Source organism: Homo sapiens, chromosome 7 (assembly GCF_000001405.40).
Source record: "Homo sapiens chromosome 7, GRCh38.p14 Primary Assembly".
Taxonomy (NCBI): Eukaryota; Metazoa; Chordata; class Mammalia; order Primates; family Hominidae; genus Homo; species Homo sapiens.
In genome coordinates, this window is record NC_000007.14 from 74,161,134 (window position 1) to 74,173,592 (window position 12,459).

The window sequence follows — 12,459 nt, forward strand, 5'->3', positions numbered from 1 at the left end:
CCAACCCTCGGGGCTGCTCTGCCTGTGGAGTAGCCATTCTTTATTCCTTTAGTTTCTTTTTTTTATTGTTATTATTATTATTATTGTTTTTTGAGACAGAGTCTCACTCTGTCACCCAGGCTAGAGTGCAGTGGTGCGATCTTGGCTCACTGCAACCTCCACCTCCTGAGTAGCTGGGATTACAGGTGTGCACCACCACACCAGCTAATTTTTGTAGTTTTAGTAGAGATAGGGTTTCGCCATGTTGACCAGGCTGGTCTGGAACTCCTGACCTCAAGTGATCTGCCTGCCTTGCCCTCCCAAAGTGCTAGGATTACAGGTGTGAGGCACCATGCCGGGCCCCTTTAATTTCTTAATAAATTTGCTTTCACTTTACTGTATGGACTTGCCCCAAATTCTTTCTTGCGTGAGATCCAAGAACCCTCTCTCGGGGTCTGGATAGGGACCCCTTTCCAGTACTACAATCTGATGATTCCAGGCAAAGCATGGAAAAGCTCTGAAGTCGTGTTCTCAACATCGAGGCTGCAATGGATTCTTTTTTTTTTTTTTTTTGAGACAGAGTCTCACTCTGTTGCCAAGACTGGAGTGCAGTGGCACGATCTCAGCTCACTGCAACCTCTGCCTCCTGGGTTCAAGCGATTCTTCTGCCTTGGCCTCCCGAGTAGCTGGGACTACAGATGCGTGCCACCACGCCTGGCTCATTTTTGTATTTTTAGTAGAGACGGGGTTTCACCATATTGGCCAGGCTGGTCTCGATCTCCGCCCACCTCAGCCTCCCAAAGTGCTGGGATTACAGGCATGAGCCACTGCGCCTGGCCAGCAATGGATTCTATTGGAGGAAAAGAAAATCAAGAACCATCCATCCACTTTGATGAGCTCACAGTGAGAAATGTCAAACATTTTGGGGCACAATCCACCAGGATTGAAACTCAGCAAACACAAGAATGAGAAACAGAAGAAGGAGAGGCCCAAAGTGTCCAGAATGTATGATAACCACCTGAAAAACGGGACAAAATAGAGCTATTAAAAATGATTTTATAAGGCCAGGCAAGGTGGCTCACACCTGTAATCTCAATGAAGTGGCATTGTTGTCTGTGGTAAATACCTGAGTTCATTGTCTCACACCAAGAGAGTCAAGGATACACAAGAAGTGAGTTTAACAGCAGAGGTCTAATAGGTGAAACGAAGAGAAAAGGGAATAGCTCTTTCTCCTGCAGAGACAGAGGGGCACTGGAGTGGGTTTTCTGATCTGTGGCCAAGTGCACGGGTTTTATAGACTGACTTGAGGAGGCTGTGTCTGATTTGCATAGGAGCCAAAGGTTGATTGGACCAGGTGTGCCATTTACAAAGCATGTAAAGAAGCTGGCCACTCACTCTAATCTTTTATTTTATTTATTTATTTAGAGACAGAGTCTTGCTCTGTCACCCAGGCTGGAGTGCAGTAGCGTGATCTCCGCTCACTGCAAGCTCCGCCTCCCGGGTTCACGCCATTCTCCTGCCTCAGCCTCCTGAGTAGCTGGGACTACAGGCGCCCGCCACCACGTCTGGCTAATTTTTTGTAGTTTTAGTAGAGACGGGGTTTCACCATGTTAGCCAGGATGGTCTCGATCTCCTGACCTCGTGATCTGCCCGTCTCGGCCTCCCAAAGTACTGGGATTACAGGTGTGAGCCACTGTGCCTGGCCCCTAATCTTTTATTATGCAGATGGAATCTCTACCCGGCGGGTGCCATCTTGCCTGTTCCTTACTACACACATGTTGACAAAGAAAAGGGAAGATGGAGCCGCCATGTTCAACATGCCTGTAAGCCTTTTCCTTTTGGCACAGCTGCAGGCATTCACTTGTGCAAGCTTCCAGCTTGCTTATCTGTGTCTGCAGCTCGATTTTACAGGCTGCTGTTTGTTAGAAAAGAAATTATTTTGGCCAGGCACAGTGGCTCACACCTGTAATCCCAGCACTTTGGGAGGCCGAGGCAGGTGGATCACCTGAGGTCAGGAGTTCGAGACCAGCCTGGCCAACATAGTGAAACTCCATCTCTACTGAAAATACAAAAATCAGCCGGGCATGGTGGCTCATGCCTGTAATCCCAGCTACTCGGGAGGCTGAGGCAAGAGAATCGCTTGAACCTGGGAGGTGGAGGTTGGAGTGAGCCGAGATCGCACCACTGCACTCCAGCCTGGGCAAAACTCAATCTCAAAAAAAATAAAAAAGGACAAGAAATGATTTTGGCACTGCTTTTTATTAAAAGGGAAACCTTACCAAGGACTTTCTTACTCTCCCTGTCTGCCTAAATAATTCCTTTTTAACTCCTGTATCACCAGCACTTTGGCAGGCCAAGCTAGGAACACTGCTTAAGCCCAAGAGTTCAAGACCAGCCTGGGCAATGTATGGAGACCTTGTTTCCACAAAAAATTTAAAAATTAGCTGGGTGTGGTGGTGTGCACCTGTGGTTCCAGCTACTCAGGAGGCTGAGGCAGGAGATCACTTGAGCCAAGGAGTTCGAGGCGACAGCTATGATTGTGCCATTGCACTCGAGCCTGAGCAACAGAGCAAGACCCTATTTCTCAAAATAATAATAATTTATAACAGTGTTTACCTTGGCGGGAAGGAGCATAAGAGAGCCTTCTGGAAGTCCTGATAATGTTCTGTGTCCTGGTGGAGATGCTGGTTACGTGGATTTATTCTGTTTTTTAACACTTAGGGAGTTTGTGTGATGTGTACACTTTTCTGGATGTATGTTGTAACCCAAGGAAGTAACTTAATAACCAATTAAAATAAAAATAGTAAGAAAGAATGAGAACGCTAAAAGAATAAGACATTGTGGGTAGCAGGGGAAGGTAGTTTTGTAGAAAAACTAAATACAACTTTTAAAAATAAAAATGGGCCAGGCACAGTGGCTCACACCTGTAATCCCACCACTTTGGGAGGCCAAGGTGGGTGAGCCACCTGAGGTCAGGAGTTCGAGGCCAGCCTGACCAATATGGGAAAACTACTCTCTACTAAATACAGAAAATTATTACTAAATCTACTAAAACGTCTCTACTAAATACAGAAAATTAGTGGGGTGTGGTGGCACATGCCTGTAATCCCAGCTACTTGGGAGGCTGAGGCAGGAGAATTGCTTCAACCTGGGAGGCAGAGGTTGCAGTGAGCCAAGATTGCACCATTGCACTATGGCCTGGGCAACAAGAGTGAAACTCCATCTCAAAATAAATAAATAAATAAATGAAATAAAAATAATAAAAATGGTGATGAAGGCCGGGCACAGTGGCTCACGCCTGCAATCCCAGCACCCTGGGAGACCAAGGCTGGCAGGTCGCTTGAGCTCAGGAGTTTGAGACCAGTCTGGGCAACATGGTGAAACCCTGTCTGTACCAAAAATACAGAAAATTAACCGGGCATGGTGGTACCTGCCTGTGGTCCCAGCTACTCAGGAGGCTGAGGTGGGAGGATCGCTTGAGCCCCAGAGACAGAGGTTGCAGTGAGTCAAGATCATGTCACGGCACTCTAGCCTGGGTGACAGAATGAGACTCAATCTCAAAAAATAAAAGCATAAATAATAAATAAAACCATTTTTAAAAAACATGAGGGAGCGGGGAAGGAGTCGAAAAACTATTGCTCACTTATCTCTCATGCATTCTTTCTAAAAGAACTGTAGGCCGGGCACAGTGGCTCACGCCTTTAATCCCAGCACCTTGGGAGGCTGAGGTGGGCGGATCATGAGGTCAGGAGTTTGAGACCAGCTTGACCAACATGGTGAAACCCCGTCTCTACTAAAACTACAAAAATTAGCCAGGCATGGTGGTGCACACCTCTAATCCCAGCTACTTGGGATGAGGCAGAAATTTAAAAATAATAATAAGTACTGCATTTATTCACTCCAAGAAAAGTAAAAGCTAAGGCCCAGAATGTGGCAAGGCAAGGGTTAAAAAGAAAAAAAAAAGGAACAAGTTTTCCTGTGCCTTGCCAAGCTCACTTCAAAGACAGTTATAACGCTGTCCAAATAGCCAAGGCCAAAGGAATGGGCTCCAGACAGCGCCCCCTTCCAGAGCAAGGTTGAAGGAAAAAAAGAGAAAGATTCTTTTACTGTTACTCGTTTCCCAGGCTTCTTAAGCATGATTATGTTTTACAAATGTCTGTATTTAGCGAGTTCTTGTTTTTCTTTCAACGCAGCTACAAGGTCACTAGCTACGCAGGGCCACAAGTTATGTTATGCTATAGATTACATGACCTGTCACTGTATGATTAACTACTTTTGTTTTGCCTCTGTAAGGCTGCTTATAAAAACCCCACTCGGTCTTTGTTTAATGTTCAGTTTTTTGGATGTCAGTCCACAGAGCCGGTGCGTACCTAAAACAAACAACAATTCTCCTGTACTCTGTATTGGTCTCTCCGTTCCTCAATTTACCACAACAGGGAGGTTGAGACAGGAGAATCACTTGAACCCAGGAGGCGGAGGTTGCAGTGAGCCGAAATTGCGCCACTGCACTCCAGCCTGGGTGACAGAGCAAGACTCCATCTCAAAAAACAAAACAAAACAAAAAAAAGAACTGTAGGCTGGTATGCTTAGTACCGTAGGTGGGAAGGAACACAGGGAGGCTTCCAGGGGTCCAGGTAATGTTCTGTGTCTTGATTGAGATGCTGGTTAATGGGTTTATTCCTGCCTAAGAATCGTAGGCAGGGCCGGGTGTGATGGTTCTCACCTGTAATCCCAGCTCTTTGGGAGGCCGAGGCAGGCAGAGCACCTGAGGTCAGGAGTTCGAAACCAGTTTGGTCAACATGGTGAAACCCCATGTCTACTAAAAATACAAAAATTAGCTGGGCATGGCGGCAGGAGCCTGTAATCCCAGCTACTCAGGAGGCTGAGGCAGGAGGATCACTTGAACTCGGGAGGGGGAGGTTGCAGTGAGACAAGATTGCGCCACTACATTCCAGCCACTACATTCCAGCCTGGGCAACAGGGTCAGACTCTGCCGTTTAAAAAAAAAAGAAATCGTAGGCAGGTATGCTCACTACCTAAGTAACCACGTACCACATCATTTGTACCTCATGCCTCAGCATCATGCAATATACTCATGTAACAAGCCTGCAAGTGCACCCCCTGAATCTAAAATAAAAGTTGAAATTTGTATTAGTCCACTTCCACACTGCTATGAAGAAATACCTGAGACTGGGTAATTTATCAACGAAAAGACATTTAATGGGACTCTCGGTTCCGCATAGCTGGGAAGGCCTCACAATCATGGCGGAAGGCGAAGGAGGAGCAAAGGCACATCTTCCATGGCGGCAGGCAGGAGAGTGTGTGCAGGGGAACACCCCTTTATAAAACCAGCAGATTGAGACTTATTCACTGTCATGAGAACGGCATGGGAAAAACCTGCCTCCATGATTCAGTTGGGTCCCTCCCATGACACGTGGGGATTATGGGAGCTACAATTTAAGATGAGATTTGAGATTTGGGTGGGGACACAGCCAAAGCACATCAAAATTATTTTTAAAAAGTAAAAATAGGCCGGGCACGGCAGCTCAAGCCTGTATCCCGGCACTTTGGGAGGCCGAGGCGGGCGGATCACCTGAGGTCAGGAGTTCGAGACCAGCCTGACCAACATGGGGAAACCCCGTCTCTACTAAAAATACAAAAATTAGCCAGGCGTAGTGGTGTGTGCCTCTAATCCCAGCTACTCAGCAGGCTGAGGCAGGAGAATTGCTTGAACCCGGGGGGCGGAGGTTGTGGTGAGCCGAGATTGCACCACTGCACTCCAGCCTGGGCGACAGGCGAGACTCCATCTCAAAAAAAAAAAAAATGTGATATAGGTCTAATAGGATTCTATCAGGAGAAAGAAAGAACTGGACTCACTGCTGCCTCCAACTCCTGGCCTCAAGTGATCCTTCCACCTCGGCCTCCCAAAGTGCTGGGATTACAGACATGAGCCACTGAGCCTGGCCTACAATTCTTTTAGAAAGGATTTGTGACAGATAAATAATCTCAGGTTTCTATGAATACATTTATTTTCGTTATTGAAGGATGATTAAGCTGGGTATAGAGTCTGTGGTTCGGCATTATTTCCCCATGGAATTTGTATGATGTTATTCTATTGTCTTCTGTTACTGCTTCTGTCATCGTCAGTCTTACAGTCAGGTAAACAGCATTTGTGTTCACTCTGGTAGCTCTAAACATTTTTCTTTTTGTCTTTGTTCTGCACTTTTTTTTTTTTTTTTTTTTTGAGACAGGGTCTCACTCCATCACACAGGCTGGAGTGCAATGGCACAATCCCAGCTCACTGCAACCTTCACCTCCCAGGTTCAAGCGATTCTTGTACCTCAGCCTATCGAGAAGCTGGGACTATAGGTGTGTGCCACCACGCCTGGCTAATTTTTGTATTTACAGTACAGGCGGGGTTGTTCTGTATTTTCATCATGATGGTTCTAAATATAGACAGGCTGGGCACAGTGGCTCATGCCTGTAATCCCAGCATGTTGTGAGGCTGAGGCAGGAAGATCACTTGAGGTCAGGAGTTTGAGACCAGCCTAGGCAACAGAGTGAAACTTCACCTCTACGAAAAATCAAAAAATTAGCCTGGCATGTTGCGTGCTTGTGGTCCCGGCTACTTGGGAGGCTGAGGTGGGAGGATTGCTTGAGCCTGGTAAATCAAGGCTGCAGTGAGCCATGATCACGCCCACTGCACTCAGCCTAAGTGACAGAGCAAGACCCTTTCTTTAAAAAAAATAATAATAATTTAGCAAAAATTTAAATTAATTATGAATAAGTAAAAATGACATGTATTTCTTTTAGAAGGGGTGATCTTAAAAAAATTAAGCACATGAGGCCAGGTGTGGTGGCTCATACCTGTAATTCCAGAGCTTTGGAAAGCTGAGGAAGGAGAATTGCTTAAGGCCAGGAGTTCGACACCAGCCCAGGCAACATAGCAGGATCCTGCCTCCACGAAATGAAAACATTAGCTGGGTGTGGTGGACACGTGTAATCCCAGTGACTCGGGAGGCTGAGGCAGGAGAATTGCTTGAACCTGGGAGGTGGAGGTTGCAGTGAGCTGAGATCGCACCACTGCACTCCAGCCTGGGCAACAGTGTGAGACCCTGTCTCAAAAAAGAAAAAAGAAAATAGAAAATCTCCGAATCCCTGTATGACCTGGAAGCCTCCCCCAAAAACCTTCCTTCAAGTTGTCCCACCTTTCCAGACAGAACCAATGTATACATTACATGTATTGATTGATGTTTCCCTATAACTTATGTCCCTGTAAAATGTATAAAATCAAGCTGTAACCAACTCACTTTGGGTACATGTTCTCAGAACCTCCTGGGATTGTGTTATGGGCCTTGGTCACTCATATTTGGCTCAGAATAAACCTCTTTATTTTTATCTATTTATTTGAGACAGGGTCTCACTCTGTCACCCAGGCTGGAGTGCAGTGGCGCCATCTCACTGCAACCTCCATCTCCAGAGTTCCAGCTATCCTTCCACCTCAGCCTCCAAGTAGCTGGGACTACAGGTATGTGCCATCACGCCTGGCTAATTTTTTTTTGTAGAGATGAGGTCTCACTATGTTGCCCAGGCTAGTCTCAAACTCTTGGATTCAAGTGATCCTCCCACCTTGGCCTCCCAAAGCACTGGGATTACAGCAGTGAGCCAACATGCCCAATTTCAGATATAGATATATAGATATATATATATATATATATATATATATATATTTTTTTTTTTTTTTTTTTTTTTTGAGATGGAATCTTGTTCTGTTGCCCAGGCTGGAGTGCAGTGGCACGATCTTGGCTCACTCAACCTCTGCCTCCTGGGTTCAAGTGATTCTCTTGCCTCAGCCTCCCAAGTAGCTGGGATTACAGGCACGTGTCACCACACCCGGCTAATTTTCGTATTTTTAGTAGAGACGAGGTTTCACCATGTTGGCCAGGCTGGTCTCGAACTCCTGACCTTGTGATCTGCCCGCCTCCACCTCCCAAAGTGCTAGGATTACAGGCATGAGCCACCACCGTGCCAGGCTAATTTCAGATTTTTTTAGATAATAGCCATATTATACCAATAAAACATCATTTCAGCACATTAAAACAGCATGAATAGTGATAACTGGTATTACTATTATTATTCCTGTTTTATAGACAAAGAACAGAGGGATTAAGCACCTTGCTGGAGGTCACACAGTAGCAGTAAGTGGCTTGGCTGGGATTTGAAGACAGGCAGTTTGAAATGCAAGCCCACAGGCTTCACCGCTGCAATAAAGGCCTCTGGGAGAAAGTGTTATCTGAGTTGGGCCTTTGAGAGCCACCCCAGGGCTCAAGGGAACTGGTGAAGCCTGGAATATCCACTCTGGGGAAGGGCTTAGGGAACAAATTATTATTATTTCTTTATTTATTTTTGAGATGGAGTCTCGCTCTGTTGCCCAGGCTGGAGTGCAATGGTGTGATTTTGGCCCACTGCAACCCCCACCTCCCGGGTTCAAGCGATTCTCCTGCCTCAGCCTCCCGAGTAGCTGGGATTACAGGCGCCTGCTACCACATCCGGCTAATTTTTGTATTTTTAGTGGAGACGAGGTTTCACCATGTTGGCCATACTGGTCTTGAACTCCTGACCTCATGTGATCTGCCTGCATCAGCCTCCCAAAGTGCTGGGATTACAGGTGTGAGCCACGGTGCCCGGCCAGGGAACAAATTATTAATAGGACCAAAGTTCATGAGGATAACCTCAGGAAAGGCTGACATTTAACTTTGCCATGGAAGCAGTCACAATGTATACAGAACTTTCTGGGGTTGGCCTCAATCCTCTGCATCCCAGGTGGAGGTGGGCTATGTGCTGGAGACCAAAAGAAGGGGGAAGTCCCTATAGATTGGAGGGTCTAGGAGTGTGGCCCGAAAGACTGGCCCCAGCTGCTGGCTGGGGAGAAAGGGGTATTAAGCCGGGAAGGAGGGGATGACCTGTGGTTGGTCCCAGTGCTGAGAAAGCCCCAGCCTTCCTAGAAAGTCTATTTTTTAATTTTTTAGACGGATTCTTGCTCTGTCACCCAGGCTGGAGTGCAGTGGTGTGACCTCGGCTCACTGCCACCTCTGTCTCCCGGAATCAAACGATTCTCCTGCCTCAGCCTTCTGAGTAGCTGGGACTACAGCTGTACGCCACCAAGCCCAGCTAAGTTTTGTATTTTTACCAGAGATGGGGTTTTGCCATGTTGCCCAGACTGGTCTTGAACTCCTGGCCTCAAGTGATCCACCAGCCTCAGCCTCCCAAAGTGCTGGGATTACGGGCATGAGCCACCACACACAGCCCTCCCTTAAAAAAAAAAAAAAAAAAAATTTATTATGTTTTTTGATAGGATCTCAATCTGTGGCCCAAGCTGGAGTGCAGTGGTGTGATCATGGCTCACTACAGCCTCAACACCCTGGCTCAAGTGATCCTACCATCTCAGGCTCCCAAGTAGCTGGGTCCACAGGCATGTGCAACCACACCTGGCTAATTTTTATTTTTTGTAGATTTGGGGTTTTACTATGTTGCCCCGGCTGGTCTCCATTTGCTGGGGTCAAGCGACACTCCCGCCTCGGCTTCCCAAAATGTTGGAATTACAGGTGTGAGCCACCATGCCCCGCTTTTTACTTTATTAATGACAAATTGCACCCCTTCTCCCACATGTAAGGCCCTGTGGGACATAACCCCCTTAACATGGCTCCTGTCCTTCAAGATCTCACCCTGAAGTGACTTTGGACTGGGACACTTTGGAAGTAAAAAAAATGTAAGGCCATTCAGGAATAAATATTAACGTTTCCTTTTTTTTTTTTTTTTTTTGAGACGGAGTTTTGCTCTTGTTGCTCAGGCTGGAGTGCAATGGTGCAATCTTGGCTCACCGCAACCTCCACCTCACAGGTTCAAGTGATTCTCCTGCCTCAGCCTCCCAGGTAGCTGGGATTACAGGCATGCGCCACCACGCCTGGCTAATTTGTCTGCCCACCTCAGCCTCTCAAAGTGCTGGGATTACAGGCGTGAGCCACTGCCTCCAGCCCTTAATGTTTCCCTTTGGTCAAATGCAATTTGATGCATTTTAAGAGTAATGGAGTAGCCGGGTGTGGTGGCTCAGGCCTATCATCCCAGCACTTTGGGAGGCCAAGGCGGGTGGATCACCTGAGGTCGGGAATTCGAGACCAGCCTGACCAACATGGTGAAACCCCATCTCTCCTAAAAATACAAAATCAGCCGTGCATGGTGGCCGGTGCCTGTGGTCCCAGCTACATAGGAGGCTGAGGTAGGATCATTGCTTGAATCTGGGAGGCGGACGTTGCAATGGGCCGAGATGGTGCCACTGCACTCCAGCCTGGGTGACAGAGTGAGACTCCATCTCAAAAAAAAAAAAAGTAAAAAAAGAGTAATGGAGTGGCCAGGCACGGTGGCTCACGCCTGTAATCCCAGCACTTTGGGAGGCTGAGGTGGGTGGATCACCTGAGGCCAGGAGTTCAAGACCAGACTGGGAAACACATGGAAACCCCATCTCCACCAAAAATACAAAAATTAGCCAGGCGTGGTGGCGCACACCTGTAATGCCACTTACTCAGGTGGCTGAGGCAGGAGACTGGCTTGAATGCTGGAGGCGGAGGCTGCAGTGAGCTGAGATCGTGCCACTACAGTCCAGCCTGGGCAACAGAGTGAGACCCTGTCTCAAAAAAAAAAAAAAAATGAGTAATGGAGTGGCCGGGTGCGTGGTTCCCACCTGTAATCCTGCAATACCACTACTTCGGGAGGCCAAGGAGGGAGAATAACTTGAAGTCAGGAGTTCAAGACCTGCCTGGGGGGCCGGGCACGGTGGCTCACACCTGTAATCCCAGCACTTTGGGAGGCCAAGGCGGGCGGATCACAAGGTTAGATCAAGACCATCCTGGCTAACACGGTGAAACCCCGTCTCTACTAAAAATACAAAAAATTAGTCGGGCGTAGTGGCGGGCGCCTGTAGTCCCAGCTACTCAGGAGGCTGAGGCAGGAGAATGGCATGAACCTGGGAGGCGGAGCTTGCAGTGAGCCGAGATTGCGCCACTGCACTCCAGCCTGGGTGACACAGCCAGACTCTGTCTCAAAAAAAAAAAAAAGACCCGCCTTGGCAACATGGCAAGACCCATCTCTACCAAAAACAAAAAAAAAAAGAAAGTAAATAAGAGTAATAGAGTAATGGGGGCAGGAGCATGGAGCAGGGGTCCAAGTTTAAACTGCGCAAGGAGAAGAAACCATTGGTTATTTTCTGAGCCATGTGCTAAGGTCAAAACTAGGTGACCTTGGGCAAGTCTCTTTCTCTCTGGGTGGTTCCACAGCTGTTAAACAGGTTTGGAAATTATTATCTACAGGTAAAGCACCCATAATGGTGCCAGACACCTTGGTAGGTCCCCAATATATATTGTGTGCCAGGAATTTTACATATTTACTAATTTGAATCTTTACAACACTGAAGAGGTAGGTGACATTATTATATAGATGAGAAAACAGGCATGTTAAAGCGGTTAAGCAACGTCCTCGAGGTCACTCAGCCAGTAAGACGTTAACTGAGCCTAGGTTCAATCTAGGTCTATCAGGCAGCAAAGTGTTTTATTACTTGGGAAGAAAAAGGCACAGAAAAATGAATAAGTGAGTTCAACACTATTAACTCATGAATTGATAATGCTCTGTCCATCTTAACACTGCTATGAAGGAGAAGATACTCAAATATAAAAGTTGGCAGGGCACAGTGGCTCATGCTTGTAATTCCAGCACTTTAGGAGGCAGAGGCAGGAGGACTACTTAAAAGCCAGTAGATCGAGACAAACCTGGGCAACATAGTGAGACTCTGTCTCTACAAATAAATGTTTTACAAAGCAAATTAGAGCCAGGCACGGTGGCTCATGCCTGTAATCCCAGCACTTTGGGAGGCCAAGGCGGGTGGATCTCAGTTCAAGACCAGCCTGGGCAACATGGTGAAACGCTGTCTCTACTAAAAATACAAAAATTAACTGGGTGTGGTGGTGCACGTCTGTCACCCCAGTTACTCGGGAGACAGAGGCAGGAGAATTGCTTGAACCGAGGAGGTGGAGGTTGCAGTGAGATGAGATTGCGCCACTGCACTCCAACCTGATTCTCCATCTCAAAAAAAAAAAAAAAAAAATGCAAATTAGGCGAGGTACTGCCCGCCTATAGTCCTAGCTACTCCAGAGGCTAAGGCGGCAGGATGGCATGAGCCCAAGAGGTCAAGGCTGCCGTGAGCTACCACTGTTCCACCGCAGTCCAGCCTGGGCGACAGAGCGAGACCCTGTCTCAACAACGAACCAATAAATACATAATAAAAAGTAATGGTTAAGCGGAAGATACCTAGGTACACATCACAACAAAATTCTATGAGGTTCTTTCAAAGTGTGCTTAGATAATTAAGGTTTGTCAACATCGTGGCATCCACAATTACTACCATCTCAATCACAAACCTGGAAATTTACC

General features: G+C 47.1%; 1 annotated feature.

The window, feature by feature from the left end:
- Nucleotides 1,287-1,482: a silencer, noted in NCBI's record as "fragment chr7:73576750-73576945 (GRCh37/hg19 assembly coordinates)". NCBI's record gives its function as "represses an EF-1alpha promoter that drives an FKBP-Casp9 reporter gene in an ReSE screen in K562 erythroleukemia cells {active_cell/tissue: K562}" and the evidence as "EXISTENCE:reporter gene assay evidence [ECO:0000049][PMID:32094911]".